This window comes from Homo sapiens, chromosome 9 (genome assembly GCF_000001405.40).
Source record: "Homo sapiens chromosome 9, GRCh38.p14 Primary Assembly".
Lineage (NCBI taxonomy): Eukaryota > Metazoa > Chordata > Mammalia > Primates > Hominidae > Homo > Homo sapiens.
Window position 1 is genome coordinate 13,157,955 of NC_000009.12, and position 16,717 is coordinate 13,174,671.

Genomic DNA, 16,717 nt, shown 5'->3' on the forward strand with positions numbered 1-16,717 from the left:
CACCTGCTTATCTTTAAACACTATATATCCATTGGGTGGACAGAAGACAGAAATAGTCCTTACCGCCTGGGCTGATTCCAATTGCTATATGCTGTGTTTTGAAGTTCGCTTTCTTCACCCTCTCCCTCTTCTCGCTCTGGTAATTCTGGAATGTCTCTGGTTAAAGAATTACACAATGAGTACCCCAAAATCCTAGTAAAAACATGCAAGATTATATGTACTCTACTATTGATTTAGCTAAAAATGCAGGACTGTTTTATGTTTTCACCATACATGGCCATAAGTATAAAATATTTTTACATCGGGGGGAAGAAAAACGTAACCAAACAAAATTAAAACCTTGCTTTAGAATCAACGTACCATAGCGTAGAGCTGAACACTAAGACTCTTGTCTAGTCTGTTTTTTCCTTGATGAGACATAGGAGCATAAAGGAAAGGAATGGGGAAAATAGGATAAATACCAAGTTTGTAAAGAAAACCCATTGAACAAGCATGTCTTAAATTCCTATAATGTGCAGGAAGCTAGAAGCACCATGTAGGTTTTAAGCATGTATGCACAGCCCTGAACCTTGTCCTGAATGAATTTCTAATCAAGTTTGCCAAGAGTTTAGTATCTCTGCTTCCTAAGGATGGACCAATGATTTTCTTTCCATTTTTGAAAAATTAAGTGAAAGACTTTGGTCCAGCTTCACCCCATCCAGAGGAACCTGGCACAGAATACTTCTTAATGGAAGAAGCAGTTTACAACGCGTCTGTGTTCAAGGTCACCTTCCGTTTATGTAGCAATTTAGATTTTGCCAAATGCCAGGCATGTAACAAAATGTGTCCAGTCTACTGATTGACTGTAAAGAAAACTGTACAATAATAACAACATCAAGAAATATTTTGTTAGTCCAAAGGAATACTTTGTATCAATAAATGAGGCTGAGAGGACAATAGAGAATGGTTAAACTGATTATGGCCTGTGCCTTGGCTGTTGGTAAAAATTGGATTTCTAAAGAAATATGTCCACATATTCCTCTTAAAGCAGAGAAGGCTATAAAAACTCTGATTCAATAAATGTTTTCAGTTGATATTTACAGAAACTGAAGAATCAAAAGAAAGTATGTAAAATTACAGCCATTCTCCCCTGACAGGAATACTGAACTGTCTCAACTGATATAATATGTTGAATTAAAGATCAGAAGTCATCTAATCCAGTCATCCATCTGAGCTTGAATGCGCTTTGCAACATTTCTGGCAAGCAAATGTCCAGGCTCTCCAAGAACATCTCATTCTTTCTTGGACCTGAATGTTAAGTTTTTGTTTTTAAGCTATTAGAATAAAATCTCTTTGCTATAGGTCCTACCCATTGGTTTTGTGTTTGAATTTCCCTCCTGTGCAATTAAAGAATAACGCCTCGAATGAGGGTAGGGCTCCTAGAGTCTAAGTCTGACACTAGGGTAGGACTGGTGGGAAGAGCTCCAAGAGGGAGATCCTAAAAACAATGTCAAAGAGTTGACAGAGAAATAGTAAAAGTGAAATCTTTGTCCAGAGGATGCAAGGCAGAGAGGTAAAAATTAGCCCTGACCTGGAAATACAACAGGACAGAGTATGACGAAGAAAGCAGAGTTAGAAGACAGACAAGAATTAGAACTTAGAAACAGTCCTTAAAATATTCAGTGACAGGCAGGGGATGGGGGGAGGTCCTTAGCCCTAAAGCCTAAGCAGTGAGAGCTATTCAGAAACACCGTAGCCACAATGCATCTTGCTTCTTCCTTTTTAGGTACAAGAAGATAAATATCCTGAATAATCCAATACAAGGACCCCAGTCTCTTCAGATGATTCTATAATCTTGAATCCTTTCGCAAACCCCATATATGCTCCTCTATAGGTGCTGATTATTGTTTACTCATCTTAGTGTGTGGTTTCAGGGACTCAAGTGTCATGTCTTCCTGCATGCACTCAGCCAAGAAAGAAGTCAATCAACTGCTTTTCCACTGTGTTAAACCACTGAATACCAACAAAAATGTTATCAACTATAATAAGTAGATCTCTTTATATCTGCAAATATGTACCAGGTAAAGTAACTGGCAGAAAGTCACATGGTGAGAAAGACACATGATGAGAAAGACACTGGCAGACAGCATAGGTGAGATTTGGATTGAGGCCATCTTACCATAAAACCTGAGCTCTTAACTTTCATGCTATGCTGCCACATATTTTTATATGGCACATGCTTCGTAGACTTGTGCAATTCCTTCCTTGCTTCCAATGGTAAGAACATGGAGTATGCTTACATTCTACACTTGGCTCTGGCATTAATTAGCTGCAGGAAAGTTACTTAACCTTTCTCTTGCAGATTGTTCCACCAAAAATGCATATCCATGTGTTCTATTTTAAGCATTCTGATATCCACAGAAAATATACTTTCTCTGCAGTGAAGCAGCTAGTCACAGCACAGGACAATCCAGGCCATCCTCTTGTCTGTGCTTGGAGGAAGCACAGTGCTCAAAGTGGCTTTCTTTCTAATAACTTTTGAGTATTTTAAGGCCCTAGAACTTAACAGGACTCAGATGTTACCTGGTGTATTCTTTAAGTAAGTCATTTGACACAATATTTCAGAGGGACATTGAAATAATTGATTTTACCAGTTTGACAGGAAGCACCAGGAAACTATAACCAACTCATGCCATTAACCCTACAATGGAAATCCTGGAGTGTGGCTGAGCTTTGTAAGTGTAAAGTAAATATAGGCGTCTCCCCTATCCCTCGTATCCTTGGGTCCAACATCCATGGATTAAACCAACAGCAGACCAAAAATATTTGGGAAAAAAATAGATGGTTGCATCTGCAAAATACATGTGCAGACTTTTTTTTCTTGTCATTATTAAAATTATATATATATATATATATATATATATATATATATATATAAAACAGGTACTTACATAGCTTTTACATTGTATTAGGTATTATAAGGAATCTAGAGATGATTTAAACTATATGGGAGAATGTGCATAGGTTATGTGCGAATACTACACCCTTTTATATAAGGGATTGAGCATCTGTGGATTTTGGTATCCATGGGGAGTCCTGAAACCAATCCCCAACAGATAATGAGGGACAATTATACTCCTTTTCCCATAATATTCATGAGGCCCCAAGGACCATGCCATTCCTTCCCTTTATTAAACAAATAACATACCTTCCCCTTCCCTGACACTTTCTGTATTCTGTAGTCATCTGTAATGTGCAGAGGAATCAGTGAAGCAAGATCACAATGAATGCAAGGTCACTGGAGACCGTGGTGTTCTGGGATGTTCTGACATCCTCTAAAGAATGGTACAACTCGACCAGGCATGGCGGCTCACGCTTATAATCCCAGCACTTTGGGAGGCCGAGGCTGGTGGATCACCTGAGGTCAGGAGTTCAAGACCAGCCTGGCCAACATGGTGAAACCTCATCTCTACTAAAAGTACAAAAAATTAGCTGGTCATGGTGGTGGACACCTGTAATCCCAGCTACTCAGGAGGCCGAGGCAGAAGAATCACTTGAACCCGGGAGGCAGAGGTCTCAGTAAGCCAAAATCGCACCATTGCACTGCACTGCCTGGGCAACAAGAGTGAAACTCCGTCTCAAAAAAAAAAGAATTGTAGAACTCTCTTCTGAGAAGACCTCAGAGTGCTTGCAAGGCCATTTCTGCTCTACCACATGCTTACAAGAAATTTGGTAGTCAGTTGCCAGCACAACTGAAAAACACAGGCCCACAACTGAGAGTGTAAAATGGTACATTCTTCATGGAAAAGCAGTTTGACATTATTTCTCTCCCTGATCTTGACTCAGTCAGCAGCAGCATCAAAACCCAGTTCCTGCCTTTCCTAAGAAAAAAGAAAACGTTCCCTTTATTATTTAAAGGCTCTTAATACTTTGTATATCAAGTGCCTTTAAAAAGCCAAACACTGTTTCCTAACATGCATATATGCTAACGGGTTCAGCTCAACATTCTCCAAAAGAGCAAGAAAATTACAAATAAAAAATGTTTCTGGTCTAGGCATGGTGGTGCATGCCTGTGAATCCCAGCACTTTGGCAGGACGAGGTGGGCAGACTGCTTAAGCTCAGAAGTTTGAGACCAGCCTGAGCAATATGGCAAAACCCCATCTCTACAAAAAATACAGAATTAGCCTGATGTGGTGGCACACACCTATAATCCCAGCTACCTGGGAGGCTGAGGTGGGAGGATTGCATGAACCCAGGAGGTAGAGGCTGCAGTTAACTGTAATGGCACCACTGTACTCTAGCCTGAGCAACAGAGTGAGGCTCTGCCTCAAAAAAAAAAAAAAGAAAAAAATTCTGAATTTGTATGCATGTTAATAAAAGAATAAATAACATTTCTGAAGAAGTTTGCTAATATTAAAAGAGTAAAAAAATCATACAATTTCTTACGTTCTAAGAAATTAATGGAATAATACTCATTTGGGGCAAATTATCAAAACTCAACATGTTAAAAGTGCTACATTGTGTGGTAAAATTAAATATTAATTTATTAATTTGAATATTTATATATTTCTCAAATTTTCCATACTATATAATAATTACTTATATAATTGAGGGAAAGGGAAGAATATTTTTTAAAATCTTGAAAGAGGAAAAGGATTCAGACCTTTTCTTTGCTCTAGTCCTCCCTGACTCTGAATTCCAAATTCTCTACAACTTGCTGTACCATTCATTGTATTAGATTTAATGTTTCACTTACCTGCCAGTGTATGAAGAAAAAATATCCAGTGCCATTACTCTTCCAGATTGTTGTCCCAAGCTTATTTTGAACTCTTCCAAATGTTCTGCAGGCACATAAGTAATTCTGGAACAAACCAGAATCCATGGAAGTGAAGGGAAATAATATTTTGCCTAATTGTTAGGAAAAGCTTCTAAAATAAAGGAAACAAATCATATTGTCCCTTTCTCCCTACTTTTTCATACAACTCATTTAATCAGTATATTCAGCAGAGAATCCAAACTTCAATAGGATAAAGTATTCTATAGGGAAGAGTAACAACAGAAACTAAGTTTTTAAATGCTGCTGATTAACTATGTGTTTACCAATCATCATGCAGAGAAGGAAAACAATTATTTATATTATCAAATGAAAAGGCTAACAACAATTTTTTTTAAATTAGGAAGATCTATAAATCCCTAGAATAATGATTGTCAGCAATAACATTAATTTTGCCCAAAGATTTCTGGGATCTCTAGCAGAAACAAATTAGGTATACTCTATTAAAATGCTGAATATCACAAATTACTTTGCATCTTTCTATAATACATAATTAATTCTAGAGATTAACAAGCATTTTCAATAATTATGTTAGCTCTATTAAGTTATGAACTCTTAAGTCTGAAGTATGAGATTAAACCATTTGAGTTTATGGAAAGACTCTTACTAATTTGAAGCAATTTTAAAAAATTCACTTTGGTCTCAAAGAAAAGACTACTATTTACACGTGAATGGCCATTTACTAATTCAACAAGTACTGACTGAATGCCTATTATGCGGAAGACACTGTGCCAGATGCTGACTCCTGCTGTAATGTTTAGAAACTGATAAATGAAAATTCAAGTCTACTGCTGTCCTGCTGTCCTGCTTCTGACATGGTGGACATACTTTTTAAAGTAAACTGTTTCAAGATCTTCAAATTAATGAATAGTAACATAAGAGAAATACTGTATCTGAACTCAATACAGCATGTTTGTGCAACTAAAAATTAGAAATCACAAAGATTATTAAACCCTCTGTCCATAATTTATCTGTTAAAATAATAAGTATACAAAACCTCAGCACTGGAGGGCAAAGATAAAAAGATTGTCTTTTATGTTGTAATAAAATAAAAATTTATACCAATGTCATAATTTACTGAAAGAGGAGTATACATAATTTCAAATATATTGGTTATTCTATAGAAAGCATTCACTCTTTCACTTCAAAGTGCGAGGTCACTTGGGTTTGGAGTCGGAAGACACAGTTCTGCTACCACGCAGAGTGTCATGGGGTAAATCACCACTGCTGAACCTCCATACCCTCTACCACAAAAAGGATGTCACTTTTGTGAAGCTACTGTAAGCTGAGGAGCACAATCCAAATAGAAGTGAGTGCTATCACAGGTCATCAGCTCTCCTGGTCATACTGATCACTTGGGCAGAATACATGGGGCCTCTGGGAATCTCTTCGTGACACTTTTACCTCAAAGGTCAAAAACTGAATCAAAGTACAGATCAATGGATTTAAGACTAGGCTAGCTGAAAAAGTTGCATTCCAATTCTGGCCCTATTTAATTTATTCATCTATAAAGACATCTTCTCTATGGTGCTACAAAAATATATTGAATAGCAAATTTGCTTTTAGCCCTTCAAATAATACATTATGTCAGGAAAGAAGACTGATTATATTTTAAACAATGAAAAAATAAAATAAAGATAAACATAAAACCTAAAATGTGAAAAGCTTATTCAAGAAAACTGGTATTATTCCTAAAGATTCAGTAAAACTCATATAAATAAAACGTAAGTTTAAAAAGCCAGGAAAAGGTCAGGGAAGAAAGGCAGGATAGAATAGCAAAAATAATAGCAATCAGTACGAAGTCTTTAATTTTTTATTGGTTTGAGAAAGAAGGTAAAGATGTTTCCATCCCAAACAATGTTAAAAATGAGTTTTTCTTTATATTTGTTCAAAGTTGTTTTTTATTTTACCGAAAGGTGAGGAGTGTAGGCATTTACAAATATTTTTCTGATACTTTGCATAGCAGTGAGAAAGAGTAGAGACGGTAGTTTTCCTAACTATTTAGCCACTACAGAGAGTGAGGCCACCAGAACAAGCATCCCACAATGCAACAGAACATGCAGAGCCATGCTAGCACAAGCCTGGTCACAGGATCATACAGAACTTCCAAATCGCCAGCAAAAATGCCAAAGCTAAATTATGAGCTGCGAGAACACACTGAAATGCTTATTTGAGAGTTGAATTAAAAATTCAAACTAACTTTTGGATACACATGGACTAACTTTTGGTTACACATGGACTAGAAGAAAAAAGAATACCATTAGAGATGCTGAAATGTGATATGGCTATTAATGCAGAGACTATTCCTGCACGTGCAGACAGGATCGTTCCCTTACAAAGGAGCTTGAAAGCTTCATAATTGGAAAATATGATTTTCAAATGAGTTCACAATCATCAGTACAATGTGAAAACGTAACAATCTCATAGCTCTGTTGGATTTTATGTTCTTACTTAAACAAAGAAAACAATCTAAAATGTATATACAAAATCTATATCTGGATCTATTCTTGCATTGGGACATTACAAAAGCACAAAATTGTTTTCACAGACAAGTTGTAACACACAGCCATAATGAGCTTTCGAATCACTGATACTCACACATAAAAGGGGGCTCGATCGTCAGCAGGTGCTGCAGAAAATCTAGAATGTGAAGCATACGCCGCGGCATCTTTTTACAATGGTGTTAACAAATGTCAATGTCTTGTGCTGAATGTGAGATGCATACATATGTAGTTAAAAGTGGGTGCTCCTGGTTGTTTTTTTTCCCCCTTTCCACCTCCCTCCCATCTACACCTCCCCCAGAAAAGCATCTGCTCTTTACTAGTGTCTATAGCAGTGATTATTAACAAGCATGAAAAAATGTAACTGCAATCAGTCTTTTATTCCTTGATCAGGAATTCATCCCACACTTTAGGTTAAGGCAGGTGAATTCTGATTCAGCTCAGTAATTATCTGGCAGATGTTATAAGCAGCTGCTGCTAAGCACAAAACCCTGGCTATTATTACAGAAATATAAGAGCTCCTGGCAAGGTGGAGGGAGAAGTGAAACAGAATGCATTCTGGTGAGGCTTCGCATCTGGTTTTCCATAGAAAATAATGAAACCTGGATCTTAAACTGGCTGTTCTTGAACTCTTGAAACTCAAATTATCTACCCATGCATGCATGAACACACACACACAAAAGTTCCTAGCTATCTATCGTAAATGGCAAAAAAGAAATCCAGTGCATTCTCTCAATAAGCAATGCTTTCCCTAAAACCAATCAGTTATGTAACTCAACCACAGTCTCCTTTTTTAAAGTTCCTACAATACACCCCTCCACCACCACCCAGATTAAGCTAGGTTCATAAAGAAAAATAATGAGAAAGAGATGTGGATGGAGCCTAGATCCAGGTAATGAGCACAAAGCTTAATGGGCCTGAGGCAATGTTATGGTTCTATTCAGAGTAATGGAAGGACTAAAAGTTCCTTTTGGGAAGATTATTCACATAGCTTTCAAGGTAATTCTAAACCTTTTGCTTCACGAAACAAGTGGTAAGGGCCAAAAACACTTCATGCAAAATGCACAGAACATGCTGCTCAGCCCTGGTCAACCTAAATGGCTCTTTGTGTTTTAAAATCTAACATATTTTTTTTTCTGAAAAAGCATTATGTAAGGATGATTTTAGTTTATTTTTATCATTACTCAATGAGTTAAGCTATAAGCATTTGAATCAGAGTATCTTTAAGGCATGTGAGAAGAAATCAACGTGTTTTGAATGTCTGCATGTGTGTTTACATACACGAGAGAGAGACTCACTGACTGAATGAATGGATGACTGATTTCCAGAGGAGGGAAGGTTGTACGATTTTTCTTCTTTTTAAAATAATTTAAGATTCTATAGTACATTTTGCCTCCTGAGATCCTAAAGCAAGTACTTATGAAGCTAGCTCTCTAGATACCCTTCATAGTCATAATAAAGCTTCTGCCCACATGATAGGGTAAATTCTGCTGAATCAGTGGGAGAGGGGAAACGGAAATACACAACAAAAAAATGAGGAAAGGGGAAAAAAGACTTTGAGCCTGAAAATGTACTTCAAAAGTTTTCTAGAGTTGACCAGATGCATGACTTATGCCAAACTGGTGTCACAATGGTCTTATTTTTTAACGACTTTTAAAGTTCTGCAGTACATTAGAACTGAGTGGTAGGGCTAGTACCAAGTACTAATTCTGGTGATCAGAATGCCAAAAAGTGGGCAGCAGACTGGTATCAGCACACACAGCATAAATGTACATCATGGCACAACAAATCAGATGAACAGTTACTAGTCCATCTGCATTTTATACTACATCTAATCCACATAAACTAAAACCCTGCGATAAATACATAGTCTCCACATGATCTAGTCATGGAACACTGGCCATAAGCGGTAAAGAAAACACTTGAAGTTTCTCTTTTCTTATGATAAAAGGACTGACATTTTTAATGATGTTTACTTGTACTCCAATTATTATAAGGCAGTTAAGGAACAGTAATATGATCTGATGATCTGTTCAACTGTAAACAAAAGTCAAAAAAGCATACACAAATATGAAAGCCCATTAGTGAAGATTTTGCCTAAAAATAATACTTTTTATATAAGACAGCGGAATCTGCTCCAAATGGTATATACTTTTCTTCTTTTTATTGACCACAGAATGAAAAACAGTCTGTACAGCTTTTGTTACCTAAGCCCTAGCAATACATACTTTGCAAAAGGACTAGTAATAGAGAATGTAGTCAGTAAAATAACATTAATACAAAAAAGTCCCCCATACTAGTAATCATTACATCGATTTTAGGTAAACAATCTTTCCCTGAGCTCTTATTTTATGATGTTATCCCTCATACATTAAAAACAAATATTCAATGATTAATGCTAGAGGAAAATGCCACATTGATGAAGTGTCACAATAAAGTAATGAGCTGATTTTTATGTTGGCTCAAGGAATGGTTAGTGACTTAAAAAACAAACCACATATATGATGTGCTTTTAGTACATTATGGGGTTATTGGAAATTTTAAGCACTTCCTGACAAAATATCCTCCATGACCTACAAACAGACCATATCAACATATTGGTCTATCCCCTGGGGTCATGAGATAGCTCAAGAAACGGTAAGTTTTGGGTCAGATGGACACTGTTTTATGTTGTCTTTTGCATGCCTGGCCCTTAAAGAACTGTCTTAGTTCTAGGATTCACACAGGTCAATTAGGTAGGGTACAATTCCTTATATCAAAGCCAATCCAAACATCTTTCCAAGATCCTAAAAGTGGGCCCTCTTGCTCTGTGAGAATCATTGCATCCCTCACTTCTATGGTTGTTGTAGAAATCACTGGAGAAGTATAATTAAAAATACAAAGCAACGTTTCCAAATTTTTAATACTGATATAGTCTCAAAGAAACTAAACTTACAATCGAGAACTACTCAAAAATAGTCAATTTCTTGAGTGATTTATGTTAAAAAAAATGTGATAACGTTTGCATCTCAAACAGAAGTGAATACTGAAAAAGAATTCTGATTAATTGAAATTCCTGAATTTCCCAAGTTAAACTGGGCTTCAAATGATACTTACTTTATGTCAGGGCCAATGAGAGAATGTCTTCTCAACATAGCTCGTGCCTGGGCATTGGTTACACTGATGGTAGACTCTTCATTAATGGACAAGATGCAGTCCCCAATGGCAATCCGGCCATCTCGACTAATGGCACCTCCATGAATAATGCTTCGAACGATCATCCCCAAGCCATCTTTATTAGCACTAACTGTCATTCCTACAGGAAAAGAGAAATGCAAATATAATTAAATACATGATTTTTCAATTCATTTTAATTTGAATTTAATAATTTCTATGATTTATAGATTAAAAAATACAAGTAACATTTCAGTCAATAAAAAGCATAGCAAAAACAGGAAAAAGTGTTTCTAACAAAAAATATTTTTAAGTAAATTGTAAATGTTTGTGAAATTGTATATAGTCAATACATTATAAACAAAACAGATCTACATTGTGGAATGAATGTAATTTAGACCATGTGATGTGCTGACCCCTTGAATAGAAAGGTCTCTCAGGGAGAGTACTATGATAGTATCAAATCAGTTTTACAATATTAGTTCAGCTTTTACACATAAAAGAGAATAAAAGGACTACAAAAGGAAAATTCATCATGTAAATTAAGCAATTATCCGCTATTACCTTAATTCTTTATCACTTGTTTATTCAGGATCTATTTACTATATGGCTAATATGTGCCAAGTACTATGTTGGTTGCTTAGGATAACAGCATAGCACAGAATTCCTAACATCAAGAAGCCTGTATTGAAGTCTTCATACCTGGAGCCTACCACAGTGGTGTGGGAAAGTATAACAGTTTGTTGAAATGAATTTATATGAACTTAATCTATTTCCATTTTATCTCTGAACTTCTTTAAGCTTCTAATTTGGATATTAAATTGCCCTCTTTTCACATCCCCTGGATGTCTCACAGGAAATGCAATCTTAGCATGTATAAAATTGAACCTGCAATTTTTCACCTCACTTTATTTCTCCATTTTTCTTCCCTTTTTTGGTAAATTGCACTACCACACTACCCTCCATTATTCAAAGTAGAAATACCGGGGTCTTTCTTGATGCATACCTCTCTCTTATCCCCTATATTTAATCCAACACCAAATCCTGTCATTTCTATCTTCAAAATTTATCTTGAATCCATTTACCTTTTTCCATTTAGACACTAACTCCAGACTAAGGCAACACCTTCTCTTGCCTGACTTTTTGCAAAAGCCTCCTTCCTAACTGGTCACCTGCCTTCCATGATTGTCTCCTTCAATGCATACTTCCCTCAGAAGACAGAGAGGCCATTACAAAAAAAAAGACAAGTAATATCCTATCAGTCCCTTGGCTGCAACTCTTCAATAGTTTCCTGTTATAGTAATACACAACATACTTGCTCAGCACAGTCTGTAGGACAGGGGTACACTGGCCTTTGCAGTGTGCATCCTTGCTTTGTGTTATGTCCTTCTTGGTTCCCTAAGTTCTAGCCACAAATGCATCTCGTCTCTGTCCGTTTTGAAGTCTTTGCCTGACACCTTCTTTCTGCAGCTCTTGCACAGCTAACTCCCTCTCACTCTTCAATATCACTTCCTCAGAAAGTCCTTCTCAACAGACTCTATCTGAATTAATGTTCCCTTTGCATCCTATCCTCATTCTATTCGTTGAAAAATATAAAATCTTATAAATTATATTTGAAACTTTGCAAAAATAATGTAAGTTCACTTAAAACGAAGTGCTGAAAGTTTCTTCCAAAACAAAATTATATAATTAAACAAGCTATGGAGAGATATAAAGCTACCAGGGTATTTATAAAAACTTTTCTTTGACAGATGTCACAAATTCCTTTTTAGGTTTTTATATATTTAAAAAATGATGTCTTTCCAAATATTAATTCTACTCATACCAAATTAGATATGATATTTCAAACATTTTAAAAAATGATTCTGATTTTGTTTCTAGCCTAATATTTCATAGTGGATGTGGGCAATTCAGGCTCCTACTTACTGTTTTCTGATAGAAATAAAACATTTTTAAATGTACTTAAAATATTCTGTTAAGACTCATACTAACGATTTTGAAGTGTATTGTTAAGAAGACACCTCTGCTTACCATAAAACAATAAGATACCGTTTCGGGTGAGAAAAAAGGCTGAATCTGAAATTTTTCAAAAGGTACTCCATTTTGTACTGTTAAAGCCAGCCTTCCCACCAATACCCACAATATAACTGTACTTTGGTAAAATAAAAATGTGTCAGCACAAAGTAAAATTTAACTCAGTGGATCACAGTGGGAATCTAACTTACCATCTTGTTCTTATTAGCACCATGCAGACTACAATAAGGCAAGACACAGACATGGAACCTATCATGAGCTATGGCCAACATGATCTCTGAATTCACTTTTAATAGCATATTTAACTCACGATTCTCAGCTATTAAGGCTGTCAGGTCACATCAACCATGTAAACCAAGAGGTCAACATCAGTTAGCTGAGCTTATACTTTCCTTTCACCAAATGACAATTTTCCAGGTGCAATAACTTGGAGGTAATCTCCACTAACCAGATTTTGGTTGTAACTTGTAAGATCTCTCAATTTTTTTCCTGGAAGAAGTATTAAAGAATATCCCAAATCCCAAATCCCAAATCATGTGCTTTGTAAATAGAGAACTGGTTACAAACCTGAATTCCACCACTTCCAATCAGCACAAGCTTGCAACTGACTTAACCTCACACAGAGCCTCAGTTTACTTACCTTTAAAAAGGGATGACATTTACTCTTAGGGTTGTTTAAAGAACTAAGTGAGAAACACATATGTAATAGTACTTTGAAAATACCTGACACAAAGTGTACGACAAAATTTAGTCACAAAACTAAAAACAAAACAAAACTCATAAAATATGTTTAAAATGCATCTCTCCCCCAAATCAAGGTTACATTGCTCCCTAAAGACTAAATGCAAATCTTAATTCAGCTTCAAAATGAAGCCTGTTAGTACAACAATCATAATGTGCCCTTGGGTAACTCAAGTACTGAATGTATTGTACGGTCTATGTGAAAATCAGAGATAGACAGGCTTGAGTTCTGACTCTACCCCTTTAAGGGTTGAGTAATTTCAGAGAAACTCCTGAGTCTGTCTATGTTTCTGTATCTAATCAGTGAAGGGAAGATAAAGACTTCCTTTCTTTTCCCCTGAAGAACCTTGTTTTTTTACCTTCAAGTCCAAACACCACATTATTAAGCAAGGGACCACAGACTTATCAAAAAGCATCAAGATTAGAATTTTTCAAAGGTCACTATATGCACGTGTATATTTATTAATGTATCTGTATTTCTGTATATATTTTCACTCTAAATTTAACAAAATTCAAAAACCCAAATGATTCATGAAATCAAAACAATGGATTATGACAGCCTTTACAGAAAGCTGTCATTTATTAATAACTTCTTCTGGTCATCACTAGACAAAGAAAAAATTAGCCACAAAGCTAAAACTGCAAACAACTGCATATAGCTGATTAAGGGGAGACTATGAATCTAAGAAAATGAGCTCATTGATAGACCTCTTCATAATATACTTTTCCACTAGCACAAACCCAGCCTCTATTTAGACTTCCTAACATACTATTTATCACACTTTTTGTTACTTTAAGTTATACAGCCAAAACCTTCCTACACTAAAGCTTAATTTAATGCTTTAATATTTACATAGATTTTTCAAGATTCCTTTACATTTAGTTATTCGAAGTGCTATAGAAATCTGAACATTTAGCATCTCCTCTGAAATGAGGTAACAGAGTAATGTAATGTTGTTGCCTTGGCATGCAGTAAATTTTAACTCCAAAATGCCAGAGGAACCTCACTGGGTCCCAGGAAATCAAAACGCCAGGGAGAAAGCCCTATAAACATATTGGGCATAGCATATCAATAATGGAAATGAAGCAGAAAAGTTAAACTAATTGTGATTTACACTTTTATATTACAGTGTGAATGGTAAACTAATGGTGCTGTGATTTCACACTTAAATGTCTTACTTTGTTTTTTGTTTTTTTTTTTTGAGACGAAGTTTTGCTCTTGTCACCTAGGCTGGAGTGTAGTGGCACGATCTCGGCTCACTGCAACCTCCACCTCCCGAGTTCAAGGGATTCTCCTGCCTCAGCCTCCTGAGTAGCTGGGATTACAGGTGCCCACCACCACCACGCTCAGCTAATTTTTTGTATTTTCAGTAGAGACGGGGTTTCGCCATGTTGGGCAGACTGGTCTTGAACTCCTGACCTCAGGTGATCCACTCGCCTTAGCCTCCCAAAGTGCTGGGATTACAGGCGTGAGCCACCGCGCCCGGCCAAATGTTTTACTTTCACTAAAAAAATGACAGGGCTCTTTTATACTTTAATTTTAAAGTCAGGCTGTTGAGGGAGGTTTAAATGGGTTTCTAGATGTGATGGAAAGGAAGGACACTTCTACCTTTCACTGTTTTCTTCCAATAACTTAATTAACCTAGTATATTTTATATCAAAACTTAAAAACTAAGGTGGAAGCAACTCAAGTGTCCATCAGTAGATGAATAAATAAACAAAGTATAGTGTATACATACAATGGAATATTATTCAGCCTTAAAAAGGAAATTCTGACACATGCTACAACATGGATGAACCTAAAAGACATTATACACAGTCAAATATGGACAAATACTGTATGATTTCACCTACATGAAGCATTTCATCAAATTCATAGAGACAGAAAAATGAATGGTAGTTGACAGGGGACTGGTAGAGAGAGCAATGGGGAATAATTGTTTAATGGATACAGCGTTTCAATTGGGGAACCCAAAAAACGTTCTGGAGATGGATGGTGATGATGGCTACACAACAATGTGAGTGCACTTAATGCCACAGAAATGTACTCTTAAAAATGATGAAAATGGTCAATTTTATGCTGTGTCTATTTTACAATAAAAAATCAATGTATCTTGACATATTAGGAGAATAAATAAGAAAATCCATATAATCTCCCCAATAGATGAAGAAATGCTTTGACAAAATTCAGCATTCTTACAATTAATTAAAAATTGGTAAGCAGGCCGGGCAGGGTGACTCGTGCCTGTAATCCTAGCACTTTGGGAGGCGGAGATGGGTGGATTGCCTGAGCTCAGGAGTTCAAGACCAACCTGGGCAACATGGTGAAACCCCATCTCTACTAAAACACAAAAAATCAGCTGGGCATGGTGGCAGAGGCCTGTAATCCCAGCTACTCAGGAGGCTGAGAGGGATGAGAATTGCTTGAACTCAGGAGACGGAAGTTGCAGTTAGCCGAGATCATGCCACTGCACTGCAGCCTGGGCAACAAAGCGAAACTCTCTCTCAAAAAAAAAAAAAAAATTGGTAAGCAATCCAAATAGCCAGATTGCAAAATCTGATGTACCCAAACCATGGCTCTTACAAGAGCCTCCTAACTGCTTCACCAACCTAAGCTGAATGCTCTTCTTAAAACACAAATCTGCTCATGTCACTCTTCTACCCTTAGCTCCCGCTGCCTACATGAAGGATAAGGCAGTAGATGGCTGCAGCAGAAGTTCTGTGTCCTACACACAAACCCATCCAGCAGTTGTCTCCCATTTATCCTTCCTTTAGTTCCAACTCTGATTTTGCCAGTCATCATACCACACTTCATCCATAACAAACCAGTTTCAGTAATATTTCACATCTCTCTGCCTTACTTCTAAGCAGCTTTCATCTTTTTCAAATTCCTCAACTATGTGGTAAAAATCTCCTCTTTTTAGACCTAAATCATACATCTCCTCTTTTCTGAAACCATTCTAAAGTTCTCCACACTTGGAGAGTAGGGATTAGTTATTCCCTCTTTTAAGCCTTTAATGTTCTCTGTAAGTATCTATTATAGCATGTACAATATTTTAATGCCTTTAGGATTTTAAATGTCAATTAGCTTACTCTCTTAAACTTGTGTTAAGAACAGTGATATTATGGTGTCTATGCATAGTGGATATAGTATTAAAATAAATGTTTGCTAGTTGAGTAAATACACTAGAATAATAGTTCTCAGATAGGCTTTGCAAAATCTCTGCCTTATCAATTATTCAAGAAAAATGGGTTCTATGGCCAATTAAATGTGAAAAATGCTACATTTGATAATCTCTTAGTGATTCACAATGCACACTGGAGTATAAAAGATATTGAGATGTAAAAAGAAACCCGTCTTCTTAAATTTATCTCATCCCAAACTTTTAAACTTGGAACTCATTTATAACTCCTATTAACATCCTACAAAACTAGTATTTTGAGTAACATGGCATCAGAAATACTAAATTAGCC

General features: G+C 36.4%; 1 protein-coding gene across 57 annotated transcripts in view; it reads right to left on the minus strand.

Moving 5' to 3' along the window:
* Window positions 1–16,717, minus strand: part of MPDZ (multiple PDZ domain crumbs cell polarity complex component) — a 173,986-nt gene that overhangs the window by 52,248 nt on the left and 105,021 nt on the right. For 56 of the 57 annotated variants that reach the window (NM_001375425.1, NM_001375420.1, NM_001375419.1 and 53 more), the window contains 3 exons: window positions 10,412–10,610; window positions 4,737–4,841; window positions 64–156 (listed from right to left, as the gene is read on the minus strand). In NM_001375425.1, the coding sequence (NP_001362354.1) occupies window positions 64–156; window positions 4,737–4,841; window positions 10,412–10,610 (397 nt within the window). The remainder of the gene's footprint in view (window positions 1–63; window positions 157–4,736; window positions 4,842–10,411; window positions 10,611–16,717) is intronic. The other variant, NM_001375427.1, reaches the window with a different exon arrangement.